The sequence below is a fragment of the Homo sapiens genome, chromosome 17, assembly GCF_000001405.40.
Source record: "Homo sapiens chromosome 17, GRCh38.p14 Primary Assembly".
NCBI lineage: Eukaryota > Metazoa > Chordata > Mammalia > Primates > Hominidae > Homo > Homo sapiens.
In genome coordinates, this window is record NC_000017.11 from 65845517 (window position 1) to 65861531 (window position 16015).

At 38.2% G+C, this 16015-nt stretch overlaps 1 protein-coding gene across 21 annotated transcripts in view, besides 1 other annotated feature; it reads right to left on the reverse strand.

The window, feature by feature from the left end:
- The window catches only part of CEP112 (centrosomal protein 112), a 556597-nt gene that overhangs the window by 209980 nt on the left and 330602 nt on the right, over positions 1-16015 (reverse strand). For all 21 annotated transcript variants that reach the window (XR_007065281.1, XR_007065280.1, XR_007065282.1 and 18 more), the window contains one exon: positions 6288-6518. Coding sequence is in view for 18 of the 21 variants with exons in the window: in NM_001353128.2 (NP_001340057.1) it covers positions 6288-6518 (231 nt within the window). In the remaining 3 variants the exon portion in view is untranslated. The remainder of the gene's footprint in view (positions 1-6287; positions 6519-16015) is intronic.
- Positions 9342-10541: an enhancer, noted in NCBI's record as "CDK7 strongly-dependent group 2 enhancer chr17:63850976-63852175 (GRCh37/hg19 assembly coordinates)". NCBI's record gives its function as "activates an origin of replication core promoter dependent on BRD2, BRD4, P300/CBP, MED14 and CDK7 cofactors, with strong dependence on CDK7, by STARR-seq in HCT116 cells {active_cell/tissue: HCT116}" and the evidence as "EXISTENCE:reporter gene assay evidence [ECO:0000049][PMID:35650434]".

A 16015-nucleotide genomic window follows, 5' to 3' on the forward strand; every position in this document is an offset into this window, starting at 1 on the left:
ATTACTATTATATCTGAGTGGTGGTAGGAACAGGGAATTTTACACCTTTCTCCACTTTCCCTATTTTCTAAAATATCTTCTATTTCAAGGAAGGTTATTTTTAAAATAGCTGAATAGGTTTCTAAAACCATTGTCCAATTTAGATACCAAAGTTTAATCAAACTTCTGAAAATTACACACTATCATCACTTAGTAATGTTCTTTAATTTTTCAAAAGTTCATATTTTATGGACTTTGTTTCAATTAGGTTTGAAAAGATTTTAAAAGGCCACAAAAGAAGCTTTCACTTTGCAAAATGTCAATCATTTACTCTCTTGGATTCTTTATTTGAAGCATTTTGACCTTGTGGAGGTATTTCATGTTTCTCTTAACTCAAAATCATTGAAGATATCATTTGGGTCTAAATTGCTGCTGACAGAAACTCAGGTAGGATGTGGACTTAGGAATTCTTTTATAACCTTAACATCGTAAGTGCTACTGAAACAACACAGACCCATATAGAATGTCACACTGAGATTATTTATTATTCTGGTATTATTGTCCTTTCCTCTTTGAACCTCAACTTTATACTCAATGATAGAAAATGAACTTCTAAACCTCTGAATTCTTGACTGGGTTTTAAACTGCTGGCAAATATTTTAAATTTCAGATTTATTTAAATACGATAAAAACATCCAACTTAAAAAGATACTGTGAGAAGAGTTCAAGCAACTGGCAGAATGACATAACAGACTCACAAAAGAATCAGCAGCTTGTTAGTTTTATTCAAACTCACAGTAAAAACTCAAATTTTAAAAAATTTGTGTAGAAAAATTCAAAGTATGTCTCAATAAAGATTAATGCTATGTTTTTAACTTATTAAGTGATATGAAGGAAATCAAAACACTAAAAGAACATATAAATATTTGAATACAAAGATGTATCATATCCTACCCAAAGTATTTATAATGATTTGAGATCAAATGTGGATAAATCAATAACAGTTTATTCACATGACCAGGCACAGAGGCTATCTTGAATTTCTCAGTAGATTATCATTCTTTTTGTTTTGTTTTGTTTTGTTTTGTTTTGAGACGGAGTCTCGCTCTGTTGCCTAGGCTGAAGCACAGTGGCGCAATCTCGGCTCACTACAAGCTCCGCCTCCCGGGTTCACGCCATTCTCTTGCCTCAGCTTCCCGAGTAGCTGGGACTACAGGCGCCCGCCACCACACCTGGCTAATTTTTTGTATTTTTTAGTAGAGACGGGGTTTCACCGTGTTAGCCAGGATGGTCTCGATCTCCTGACCTTGTGATTCGCCCGCCTCGATTATCATTCTTTTATTCACTCACTTAATATTTAATGAGTGCTTACTGTGTGTAAGGCACCATGCAAGCTCCTGGGGCATTAGAAACAAATATTTCCTGCTTTCAGGGAATTCGGAGTCCAGGTCTTTACTGCATTTGAAAATGCTAAACTCCTTTGACTATTTATGTAAAAATATCAATCATTGGAAATACAAATTACTCGATGTGAGCACAGCATTTAGATATCATCATATGGACTCTGAGGTTGGTGAATTCCACCAACTGGACAAAAACCGAACTCATCGCACTCAACACCAGCCTATGTAAAAGAGAGTCTTCCCTTTCCCCAGACTCTCCCTTTTTGTCAACAAGTCCCTCCATTCTGGTTCATCTCAGTACCTCTACCCATGTCAGCTAAAAGAACTGTCCTCAAACCTCCCTTCTAAATTCTGGGATCCCTTGTGTTCTCACTTCAATCCAGGAGCATTCCATTCTTCCAGATGCAGGATACCCATGCTCCCTCCTCTACCTGCAGAACTCCAATTCTATAGGAACAAATTCCCTTATATCTTCTTCCTTTCCAAGGCATTCCACTGTTCAGCTGGAAGCCTGTTTCGCTTTTTTTGAAACTCCTCACCTAAGCAGACTACTCTGATTCTTTACTAAGAATACAGATGCTATTAGCTACAAGGTCTTTTCAAGTCTTGTCAGAGAGCTTCTCTATATCTTTACCAATGCTTGACTTCCTTCCTCCATTGGTGAAGGTCATGCCTCCTGTCACTCATTCATGTCATACCCGGAGGGCACCTGCCCCGAGCTGGGTTTTCTAGGCACTGGTGGTACAGAAGTAAACAAGCTAGACAAGGTCCTGCTAACAGAGCTTATGTTCTAGTGGGTGGGAGGAAACAAGCGAACAAATAAAAGGATGATTTCAGGTAATGCTATGAGCTATGAAGACAATGGGACAAAAAAAGGTGGCATAGGTAGGCCAGACTTTGGATGAAAAGGTCGGGGAAGGATGCTCTGAGGAGTGTAGAATGATGTCAAGGAGGTTGGCCATTGAAAAAATCATGTGGAGAAGCATTCTGGAAGAGGGTGACAGCAGCTGCAAAGACCTGGAGGCAGGGGAGAGTGTGGCACATTCTGGGAAAAGACCAATGGACCCTTGCAGCCTTGTAGCCGAGGGCTGAGGTAGGCCTGTGCTGCGTCTGTGCTGGGGATGCCATTCCCACCTGCACCACCTCACAGATCACAAGCCATCAATGATCTCTGATTCTTCACGTCATTAAGCTGTTCCTCTCCATTAGTCCCTTTGTGTACTTCAAAATGCTCAACCCATGTTCAGCCCCAAAATATATTCTCTTTAACTCCTGCTGCTCTTTGGAACTACATCTTTCTTTTAACATCGTATTTTCCCAAACAACAGGATGTTCCCTCACTTCCACTTCCAGACTTATCTTTTGAAACCCTGTTTCTGGGCACACAATCATTTTCAGCGCACTGTCCAAGATCATCAATGACTTTGTGGTTTCACATCCAGTGACCTTTCTTCAACCCTCATCCTTCCTGAGTTTGGGTCACATTCTTGACAATCCCCCTTTCCAAATAGTCTTTTCCTCTATTTCCATAAAAATGCATTCTTCTCATGTTCCTTCTACCTTCGTGACCCTTCTTCAACTGTTTCCTCCCTGGCCTCTCAAATGGAGCTGTACCCCTAAGTTCTTCCTTCACAGTTGCCCTCTCTCTCCCTCCCTCCCTGCCTCTTTCCCCCTTGCTTTAACAGTCCCACTCACTCTCAAGGCCACTGGCCAGGCCTTCTCTGTGGGTGATTCCCACAGCTGTTTGTCTCCAATCCTGCCTGCTCTTGGGATATCCAGAAGCATTCTTTCAACAGCAAGGGAAAGTGTAGTGTCACTTCAAACTCCACATGTTCTTAACTCAGTTCAGCTTCCTCCTCCTCCGACCAGAAACTTCTACATTCCTGATCGATTTATATTTAACCAACCTAATCAGTGCTATCTCTATGATGATTTTCAAATGTCCTCTTTGTCCCCTTGCTACTGCCGACACTCTCACTGCCTTCTCACGCACATCTGCTGTGCCCTCAAGGACCTCCTGCCTGGATTAATCCAGTCCTTGTTACCTCCTGCTGCTGCTACCACATCTTGCCAACACCAAGAGGATGATGTTCCTAAGAATCACTGGAATCTTGACACTTCATTTCCCCAAAACCTTTGGCAACTCCTCACTGTTTACCCAATGAAGCAAAAATGCTTATCACAGCTTTGGAGACTTTCGATGATCCTGAAGCTATCTTAGCTTGGTTGCTAGCTCTCCCCTGGATCAACCTCTATGTCATGGAAACGGTTTTGTTTGCTCTTGCTTTCCTTATTCTTTTGACTTAGAATGCCATCCAACATATCTACTAATTAAAATCCTACTTATGTTACTTATGTCTCATTCAAGTAACATCTCTCCCAATTAATTTTCCCGATTTCCTCAGCAGAAAATGATTTTCCCCAAATTCACACTGTCTTGCATTATAGTTATCTGTGTAGTGTACTTGCAGTATTTTTCTTGCAGTCACTATTATTTTTCTATTTGAGGGCAGTGGCCCCCTCCCCTGTTTTTTATATACCCACAGTGCCTGGGATAATGCCTTTCTGGAATATAAAAATTCAGGTTTCTAATACTAATTTTTAAATTATCTTTACCCTGTAAATTAGCATCACGTATAAACCTACATTTCACGAAGTTCATCTCCTATTAAAAAGAGGCATTTGGAATGTGAATATATAATGCAGGAAAATTACGGCCTAAATTGGATGTGTTATATGTCTGACTTTGGCATATCCAATTTTCTTAAATCAAGGTGCACAGGTATCTGTGCTATTTAAGAACATTTACTTAGAAATACTTTGAACTGCTAGAAGAGTTGACTGAAGCCAAGGTGAAGTGAGTGTAAGAGTTAACAGAAAAGATAAGTGGCAACACCACTTTCCCTTTCCATCAGTCTCTCTTTTATCTGCTATTGTCAAAGTCTGAGACTATACCATATAAGAATATTTCCTGGCCTGGCGCGGTGGCTTACGCCTGTAATCCCAGTACTTTGGGAGGTCGAGTTGGGTGGATTGTCCGAAGTCAGGAGTTTGAGACCATCCTGGCCAACATGGTAAAACCCCATCTCTACTAAAAATACAAAAATTAGCCAGACGTGCTGGCGGGTGCCTATAATCCCAGCTACTCAGGAGGCTGAGGCAGGAGAGTTGCTTGAACCCAGGTGCCGGAAGTTGCAGTGAGCCGAGATCATGCCACTGCACTCCAGCCTGGGCGACAGAGTGAGACTCTGTCTCAAAAAAAAAAAAAAAAAAAAAAAAGAATATTTCCCTAATTCCTGAACTGTATATTTTAGCATCGAGACATTATTATTTTATCCTGCTGTGAGGGAATTATCACTAACATCCCACTTAGCCTGAACATGTCCCGAGAGGCCCAACCTATTGGTCTTGTAGTCTTCTTCCTTTCGGCAAAGAGGAATTCCATCTGTCCACTGGCTTGGGAAAATAGCCTTGGTGCTGCCCGTGACTGTTCCACCCTACTTCCCACCCCCCAGCATATTCCACGAACCAACAGTGAATGCTGTCAGGTCTACCTTCAGAACATATCCCAAATCTGATCAGGTTTTACTACCTTCATTGCTATTGGCTAGACCCAGCTCTCTATTACCTTTCCTCTATATTTTTGCAACAGCGTTTTAACTGTTCTCTCTACTTCCTCCTTTGCCATCAATTCAGTCTATTCTCAGCACAGCAGATGATGACATCCTATTCAAGTGTGAGTCAAATCATGTCACTCCTATGCTCAAAATCTGCCAACTTCCTCTACTCATAGAGAGTCAAAGCAAAGCCCTCTCACTGGCCTACTCAGACCTACGTGACCTGGACCCACACCCTGAGGTTTCTTCTCTGGCCTCATCACTTTCCCTCTTCTTCTCACTCATCATTTCCAGACACACCACTTTCCCTGCTGTTCTGCCAAGAAGTCAGGCTCACTCCTGCCTATTTACAGTCCTTTTTCCTATTTATTTCTGGGTTCATAGCTATGCTATCAAGGGCCAAATCTGCTGAAATCTGACTTTCAAATTAATTAAAGTACAATAAAGCAAGTACCTTAGGATCTCAGTCTATGTAAAATCAATGTAGTAATGGCTAGTATGGTATTGCATACTCTTTAAAAGCTCAACATTATTTGAAGATGAAGAGGGATAGGTGGAAAGAAATTAAACAAAATTTAGATGATTCTTAAGTTACCCTTTGCAAGTTTCTCATTCCCAAGATAAAGACTGGTCTTAAGAAACTCAAGAGGCAATTTTGGAAACAGCAATTCACATTTAGTACCTGACTAAAATAGTTATACTTTTTCTGAACGTCAAAAGAAAGAATATTTGAGATTGCACCTTTAATATAAGTCCAATCAAAATGTGTAAACATTATATTGACATTTATTCCAATAATATATACTTCTAAAAAGACTTTTCTTATCTCGACTGAAATATCAACCTGGGAAAATAAGTCATCATTTATGTGACACTGTTATAAAAAGCTGTAAAATCTAGAAATGCTTATTAGACAACTGAGGGAAGATCTGAAACTTAGTCCCATTTAGGAAAATTTAGGGATACAGCCCCAGTATTTCTAATCAAAATAATATTGGACAATATTATAATATCACTTTATTACAACGTGTATTTAATTACTATGGAATAGGATATTCCATATAATCCCTTCCATGAAAGCCAAGGGAAAAGTTAGGAAATTCCCTAGATTATTTTACTGGTACTTAGACATAGGAGCAAGATACTTAAATTCCTCGACTGAAGAGTTTATACATTTAAAGAGTAATGCCATGTCTACTACCTTTTGGAGATTAAATATAAGGGTGGTGGCAATGGATTTTAAACATGGATTTCAACTGCCTATTAAAAAACTAGTTAAATATCTTACCTTTTCCAGTGTCATCTCTGTCTCAGCAGCATGAGTCTTTTTCAGCTCTATTTTCATCTTTTCTGATTCAGCCTTCAGTTTATTGACGACAATCTCATGTTCCCTTGTAGCCCTTTGCTTTTCCTCTTCACGAAGAAGACCAAGCTCTACCAGCTGCTGTTTCCGCTGTGAGTTCACATTGATCAATTCTTCTCTCAACTTGTGAACCTGGGCCTCCATGTCGGCAATAACCTTGTTTTTAAAAATGGAAAAATGGGCAGAAGATATCAATAGGGAAGTCACAAAAGAAGAACCAATGGGCAAAAGGCCAATAAATGAAATATGAACATATGGAATAGAAAGCTTAGATTGCACTCCATCCTTCCTTCTTTCCTTCCTTCCCTCCCTCTTTCCCTCTCCCTTCCTTCCTTCCCTCCCTCTTTCCCTCTCCCTTCCTTCCTTCCTTCCGTTCCCTTTCCTTCCCTCCCTCCCTCCTTCCCTTCCCCTCCTCCCTTCCCTTCCCTTCCCTTCCCTTTCCTTCCCTTTCCTTCCCTCCCTCCCTCCTTCCCTTCCCCTCCCCTCCTCCCTTCCCTTCCTTCCTTCCCTCCCTCCCTTCCCTCTCCCTCCCTCCCTCCCTTCCTTCCTTCCCTCCCTTTCCTTCCTTCCCTCCCTCCCTCCCTTTCCTTCCTTCCTTCCTTCCCTCCCTCATTCCCTCCCTCCCTCCCTCCTCTACTTCCTTCATTCCATATTCCCATGTCATTCCTTCCTAGCTCAGAGGCAAATACCACCTGGAACATTTTACCATACTTTTGGATCTTTAAACAACATATTGTTTAGTTTTACTTGTTTCTAATTTCTATGTAAATGGAATATTACATGTATTTTTCTGAAACTTGCTGTTTCAAATATTCAACATCATCATGTTCCTGAAATTCATCCAGTGTTCCCTATTGGATTTTTACTTTTTATTGATTGATTTCTGCTTTTATTTTTATGTCCTTCTTCCTACTTTCCTAAGGTTTATTTTGTATTCTTTCTTCTAACTTCTTATTTTGGATACTTAACTCATTTATTTTTTATCATTTCTTCTTTTCTGATTTATAAATGTAAGACTACAAATGTCTCTCTGGATACTGATTTAGTTCCATCTCTTTGGTTTAGATATGTGGTATTTTCATTATCGTTTAGTTCAAAATACTTTTTTAACTTCCATTATAATTTTTGTCTTTGACTTATGAACCATTTAGAAGTATGTTTCTTAATTCCCAAGCATATGGGACATATTAGTTTCCCAGGGTTGCCATAACAAAGTAGCACAAACTAGATGGCTTAAAAGAACAGAATTTTATTCTCTCATAGTTCTGGAGGCTAGAAGTCTTAAAATCAAGGTGTTGGCAGAGTTGGTTCCTTCTGGAAACTCTGAAGGAGAAGCTGTTCCATGCCTGTCTCCTAGCTTCTGGTATTTCCTGACAGTCACTGTGCCTTGGTGTGTAAATGCATCATTCCAATCAGTGCCTTTGTCTTCAGATGGATTTGTTCTCTCTGGGTGTCTGTGTCTCTGTGGTGCTGTATTTTATAAGGACACTGGTCATACTGGATTTAGGGCCCACCTTAATCCAGCATCACCTAATTTTAACTTGATTACATCTGCAAAAATTCTATTTCCGGCCAGGCGCAGTGACTCATGTCTGTAATCCCAGCACTTTGGGAGGCCGAGGCGGGTGGATCACAAGGTCAGGAGTTCAAGACCAGCCTGGCCAAGATGGTGAAACCCCGTCTCTACTGAAAATGCAAAAATTAGCTGGGCATGGTGGTGGGCACCTGTAATCCCAGCTGCTCGGAAGGCGGAGGCAGAGAACTGCTTGAACCTGGGAGGTGGAGGTTGCAGTGAGCTGAAATTGCGCCACTGCACTCCCGCCTGGGCAACAGAGCGAGACTCCATCTAAAAAAAAAAAAAAAATTCTATTTCCGGTTCTGTGTAGACAGGAAATTTTGAGAGGGACACCATTAAACTCAGGAAATGGACTTCAGTGGTTATTGTTTTGTCATTCACTTCTAATTGCACTGTGGCCAAAGAATGTAGTCTATCTCCCATTAATTCTTTGCAAATTTTGAGAATGTTTGATGGCAAGTTATGTAGCCAATTTTTTAAAAGCTTCATGTATGATTGCTAAGAAATGTCTATGCTGTATTTTCTACAGTTTTCAGTGCTATATCCTATACATGCCTATCATATCAAGCTTGTTACATAGTTGAAATCTTCTGTCACTTACTTACTGCCACTAACACATTAGCCAGCAATGCAACATTTCCCAAAACACAATGATAAATGTTTCATTTCATGCCTAATGTATGTTCAACAAGCACAGCCTAAACCAACATTTCCTTGACTGGAAACCAGAAAAATAAAAAAGTGACAGGAATCCAAATGTCACATTATGATGCTGGGAATAAGAATACAAAGCTAAATGATGAGAAGTTGCTTTGGTCAAAATATCTACAAGAATTATTTCATTTTCAATATAAATATTATATTCATCCAATTTTTAATTTTAACAATTTTGTGATTTCTACATGATAAATAATAATTGCTATAATTTTGAGTGTTTACTTTGCACCAGGCATCTTATTTTGGATTGTGTTCAGTATACATTAGCTCAACTATTAACCCTGTGGCCTCTCTACACTAGACTGGAAAAGACATCTAGAACAGTAACATTTGTGTTAGAGGAAAGAAAATGCTTTATAGTAATAAATCTGAGCCTTCGAGGCTGGAGGTGATAGGATGTCCCATTTTTATCCTGCCTTTCTAAGAAAAGCTTACTTGAACTAGTCCCAAAGGAATATGTGAGAGGACTTTATATAAAAGGCTGATCCTTGTAAACCTGTAGTGGAAAAATTAGTTATTTTTTCTTCAGGAAATCTATGCACTGTTTTAACATCTATTTGTTTCTCTATTTCATAGATTGATATCTGTGTATCAATAATCAGCTGTGGATCAATTGTCCGTGAAAACAGTCTTTTACCTTTTGTTCTTTGTTTTATAATGATTCTTTTGAACCCAAGAGAAGAGATAGTCAATGCAATCAGATTCTGAAATAGAGGATACATCTTCTAAAAACAGATAGACTTTAGCAGTGACAACAGTTATGTGTTTGGGAGGCAGAACATTCTTTTTTTAAAAAAAAGCTCAGGGATATCAACATGGCAGACAAGGATGGGTTGCTGGCTCCCTTCCCCAAAATCAATCCTGGAGAAAGCACAGGAAGCATGAATCTGAGATACTAATAACTATAACAATAATAAACATAACAAAAGCAAATTTTGAGAAGCTCCTGGGTGGAATAAAGACAGTCCTAAGGGGGTACAGCCTGGGGAAGAAAATAATAGAAAACCGCTGTAAGAAGGTGGGTTGCAGGAATGCTTTACCTTCTGCTCTTGTCTCTCTCTTTTGTAGCCAGGTAAAATCATATCTGTTCCATTACCATGTTGGGAGCAAGAACTCAACATAGTGTTGACATCAGTCAGTCAATACCAAGGAAAGCAAAGCCCTCCTTGGGTGAGGAGTTGAAGAAAACAGGCACAGACTTCTCTGAACTTCCTGGGTATTCCCCCTTCCAAAGGCTTCCCTCCAAACTCCCAGGACTAGTGACTCAGTCATTAGACACTCACTTCCAGGAGCTTAGGTAAATTCCCGACCAGCAGGTTTTCCTGATGAAGTAACTGTGAAAGGGAGTGGTACGGCAATGAAGGGCTCTGTCTTGGGGTTCATAATCTTGTCCTTCTATAAGCTCATCCAACAGGTCAGGGACTAAAGGTGGGCTTCTGCTCTTCCCCAGTCAGGATATCTGATAGTCCCAGGGGAAAATGGGCTCCCTGGCCAAAGTAAATAAACCTGAGGAGCAAAACTACTACCAAAAAGAGACACCTAAATAACATATATTATCTGAAGCAGTATAATTGGAACAGATGAAACAAGAATTTTTTAAGTGCGTAATAGGCCGGGTGTGTTGGCTTATGCCTGTAATCACAGCACTTTGAGAGGCCAAGGCAGGTGGATCACTTGAGCCTAGGAGTTCAAGACCAGCCTTGGCAATATAGTGAGGCTCCTTCTCTACAGATAATACAGAAATGAGTCAGGTGTGGTGGGGTGTGCCTGTAGTCCCAGCTACTCAGGAGGCTGAGGAAAGAAGATCAATTGAGCCCAGGAGGCTGCAGTGAACCGTGGTCATACCCTGTACTCCGGCCTGTGTGACAGAAGGAGATCTTATCTCCAAAAAAAGTCCATAATAAACATACAAATAGTAATATATATATACTTAATATACTGAAAAGTGTAATGGAAGAAGTTACAGACATGAAGCTGCAATTAATGTCATAGAAGAAGGAAAAAGTGAAAATGATAGGAAAAAGAGCAAGTTAGCTAAAGCCAAAGAATAGAATTGCGCATTGGAAGGATGGTAAGATTGAAGAACTCCCTGGGAGGCAGCAGAGAAAGATAATAATACAGAAAATGTAAAAGAAAAGCTAATATTTGTGGAGGACAGAGGAAGTGACAACATCTAAATAATAGAGTCTGAGAAAAATAGAATTGGAAAGATTTTATCCAAGCTCAAGCTGATTTGAAAGTCTGCTTTTTATCACATACTGTATCATCTCAAAGTATTAAGAATTTCTCTTAAGGAAGAGTACATATTTATTGTACTTTATTAATTTGTTATTGTGCGTTTCTATCCCCTAATTTTCACTATGGTTAGTACAAAGTTAACATCCAAAAGCCATAAGTCCATAATGTCTTTTTTTGAAAATTAAAAAATACATACATTTTTATAGATTTGGGAGCATAAGTACAGTTTTGTTACTTGGATATATTGCATAGTGGTAAAATCTGGGCTTTTAGTGTAACTACCAACCAAATATTATACATTGTGCCCACTAGGAAAATCTTTAAAAAATGAGCAAAAATGTTAGTTTTCCAAAAGCAGTGAGACCATCCCAAATCGAGTTTCAATCTCTGTCAATGTAAATCAAAGTATTGTTATGCACATTGTCATCACTGTGTAGATACTGTTCTATATTTTCACACACCCAATTTTAATTTAATTCCCATTTATTAGCATATTTGTCATATTTAGTGGCTCCCTAGTATTTCACCCTTCCAGTACAGGCATATCACAGAGATATTGTGTGTTTGGTTCCCGACCACCTCAATAAAGCAAATATTGCAATGAAGTGAATACTGCGATGAAGCAAATATCTCCATAAAGTGAGTCACATAAATTGGTTGGTTTCCCAGTGCATATAAAAGTTATAGACTATTCAGGAGTGTCTGAGGGAGAGAATACAGTCATGGGTTCTTGGTTTCTGTTTCTGGTTGGGCCAGTAAAGCCCCTTCCTCATCCCTCTTTTCTGCTTATCACTAAAGACAGAAACTTTAAAACCATGGCTTCTGGCTGCTAAAAGCCTAAAGCAAAACAAAACAGAACAACAACAACAAAATAAGGTGGGTTGGACAAGCTTGCAGTTTATTCAGTGAGCATTATGTCTAAAAAACAATGTGCATTCCTTCATTTAAAATACATTATTGCTAAGAAGGGTTAATGATCATCTAAGCCATTCTTAAGTCCTAATCTTTTTGCTGGTGGAGAGTCTTGTCTTGATACTGATGGCTTGCTAACCGAACTCCTGACCTCGTGATCCGCCCACCTCAGCCTCCCAAAGTGCTAGGACTACAGGTGTAAGCCACCACACCTGGTCAATGTTTATTATTTCAATGCATTAATGGAGTAAATTATATTATAGGTTATTTTCAAACGTTACATCAACCTTAGGTTACATTCAATTTTTTCCATAAGATAATATTACTGGATTCAGTTTGCTAATAATTTGCTAATGATTTTTGAGAGACTGACCTGAGGGATTTTTTTTTTTGGACTCTCCTTGGCATATTTTTAAATTGATGTTATGCTAGTCTCATAAATTCAGTTGCTGAATGATGCTACCTTTTTCATCCTCTGAAAGAATCAGTATAAGATGAGTTATTTGTTTCTTAAATATTTAGTGGAACTGGCCAGTAGGGCCATCTGGGCTTGATATTGTATATCTGGAAAACATTTTGACTACTATTTCAATTTTTCTGATGGTTATAGGATGATTCACATTTTCCGGTCTTTTACAGAGTCAGTTTTGGTAAATTTTTATAGTTTAGGAATTTTTCCTCTTCCCCTAAATTTGACATTTGTTGGCATTTATAAATTTCTATGTCCTTGCATTCTCTACAACTTGGTGATTACATACGTTATTTTTATACATTATTGGACTTGATTTGCTAATAATTCCAGATTTGTATGTGTGTGTTCATGAGTGAGTTGGCCTGGAATTTTTATTTCTCTTCTTGTACCAGTCATCTTTTCTATCAATATTACAATCTTTTAAATTGGTTTGAGAGTATTTTTCTCTTTCTCGCTTCTCTGGAAAAGTTTGTAAAAGACTACAGTGACCTGTCCCATGGGAGATTTTTATAGAACTCACCTGTAAAATTATATGAACTCAGTGTTTTCTTTGTTGAAAGATTTTTAACTGTTTTTAAAATTTGCTTAATTATATTAGATTATTTAGTTTCCTGTTTTGTCTTGCGGCATTTTATGTATTCCTGGAAATTTGTCCATTTCACCTGGGTTCTCCAATTATTGGCATAATGCTTTTTTAATATCTTATTTTTTTAATCTCTGATGATCTGGAATATATCCTTTTTAAAATTTAATGTTATTAATATCTCTCTTTTATTGATAACATTACCATAGCTTTATTTTTATTCCCAATATTGTTTATTTGCACTTTGTTCTTTGATCAGTCCTACCAGAAATTGCTTCATTTTTCTAACTTCTTAAGCTGGTTGCCTACTTCATTAACAATTAACCGTTTAAAAATAAATGGCAGGTTAAGTGTACCCATTTCTCTCATTTTAGCTTCATCCTTCAAGATTTGAGAAGTACTATTTTCATTATCAATTATTTCTAAGTATTTTAATTTAAATGTTATGAACTTATTTTTGATTAGGAAATACGTTGACATTGATAAGAATTTATAAGCCACAAAAGTAGATACAGTAAACTATCTTCCACTCACCCGGACTGTCATCAATAACCACCTCATCCCCACCCAAAATAGTACCAATGTAAAAAGTGTCAAAAGTGTCTTAGGTCTAATTCCAGAAGATCAATTCTTAGGTCTAATTCCAGAGATCAATTCAAAGTGCTTTTAATTTTACCTTAATTTTATCTTATGGAAAAAACTGAATGTAATCTAAGGTTGATGTAACGTCTGAAAATAACCTATAATATAGTTTACTCCATCAATGCATTAAAAGAAAAAACATTGGCCAGGTGCGGTGGCTTATGCCTGTAGTCTTAGCACTTTGAGAGGCCGAGGCGGGCAGATCACGAAGTCAGGAGTTCAAAACCAGCCTGGCAACATGGCAAAACCCGTCTCTACTGAAAATACAAAAAGTAGCTGGGCGGGGTGGCAGGTGCCTGTAATCTCAGCTACTTGGGAGGCTGAGGCAAGAGAATCGTTTGAACCCAGGAGGCGGAGGTTGTAGTGAGCTGAGATCGCGCCATTGCACTCCAGCCTGGGTGACAGGGTGAGACTCCATCTCAAAAAAAAAAAAAAAAGAAAAGAAAAGAAAAGAAAAAACATTATGATTATCTGAATACACAGAAAAACATCTGATAAAATTAAACAACAAAAATTCTTAGCAAAAGAGAAATAGAAAAGATCACTTTAACCAGATAAAAGGTATTTGACAAAAGACTCATCAAATTTCATTTATTCTTTATTGTGAAGTTTTAAAATATCCCTTTTAAACTAGGAAGAAGAAAAGAAGGTCTACTATCATCACTTGTATTCACAAGTGTATGACAAGAACATAAAAAAAAAAAACTGGGCCAGGTGCGGTGGCTCATGCCTGTAATCCCGGCACTTTGGGAGGCCAAGGCGGGCAGATCACAAGGACAGGAGTTTGAGACTAGCCTGGTCAACATAGCGAAACCCTGTCTCTACTAAAAATACAAAAAAAAAAAAAAAAAAATTAGCTGGGTGTGGTGGCGGGCGCCTCCAGCTACTTGGAAGGCTGAGGCAGGAGAATCTCTTTAACCCAGGAGGCAGAGGTTGCAGTGAGCCAAGATTGCGCCACGGCACTGCAGCCCAGGAGACAGTGTGAGACTCCATCTCAAAAAAAAAAAAAAAACAAAAACCTATCTTTAATCATAGATGCCATGACGGTATATATAAAAAATGAAAATGAATGTACAAATTATTAGAAATAAGAGCTTAGCGTGATGTCTGAATAAATGATCAATGTTCAAAAAGCAACTGCAGTTTTTATACATCAGCAAAAAAATTATAAACATTTACAGCTATGACAACAAACAAAGAATCTTAGAAATAAGCCTATCAAAAGATGTGCAAAACCCTAAGGAAAAAAATATAAGGCTTTTTGAAAGACATAAAAGGAAGATCTAAATAACTAAGAGATATATCAGGGTGATGAAAGTCTCTTCATCAGTTCTCTGCAGATTAATCTAGAGTGTAAGTCCAATTAAAACTTCAAGAAGAGCTTTCGACAAGGTGGATCTAAAATGTACAGGGACAAACATAGTACCATGACATCCCCAAAAAGAACAGGCGGTGTGATATTCCCTACAAGAAATTTGGGTCTAACATAATGTTATCATAATCAACACAGTATAGTCTTATCATAGAGAACAGAAAAAAATTGACCAATGAAACAGAATTGAGAACCTAGAAACAGGCTCACACTGGACAGAGCTGGCATTACAGTTTAGTGGGGATGTGACAAGCCAATGTATTCTAAAAATTACGCTGACACAAGAAGTTATTCATATTGGGAAAAATAAAAGCAAGCCCCTATCTTACACAATGGACAAAAATAAGTTATTTCCATTTTTAGGTCTATATCCAAGAGAAATATAACTTATGTTAACACAAAAACTTGTAACATGAATGTTCATAGCAGCAATTTTCATAACAGCCCCAAAGGAGAAACCACCAAAATGTCCATCAATTGATGAACACGCAAATGAAATACAGTATATCCACACAGTGGAATATTATTCAGCAATAAAGAGAAATGCAGACCTAATACATGCTACAGTAGGAATGAACCTTGAAAACACGCTGAGTGAAGGAAGCCAGTCACAACATATTGTGTGATTCCAATATTTTACATGAAATATCTGAAACAAGCACATCTATAGAGATAGATTAGATTAGTGGATTGTCTAGGTCTGGGAGTGTTGAGTGGAAATGAAGAGTGACCATTAATGGGTCTGAGTTTTTGGAGAGAGGTGACACAGTTAATGGTGAAGATGGTTTTGCAACCCTGAAGATACTGAAAACCACTGAATGGTACAGTGTAAATAGGTGAATTGTATGGAATGGCAATTATATCTCAATAAGACTGTTTCTTTTTAAATCAGTTCTTAGTGGATGAGAAACCAAATGTGAGACCAAACTTTTAAAAATATGGGAGATGGCTTTATGACTTCAAAGTAAGGAAAGGCATGACTTAAAGGGCACTAACTTGAAAAGATTGATGAATTAGATTGCAATACAGTTAAGAACATTTGTTCATCAAAAGACACAAGAAAGAGAATGAAAAACTAAATCACAAACTGGAAGGGAACATCTGCAACATATGTAACTTACAAAAGAATATTATCCAGAAT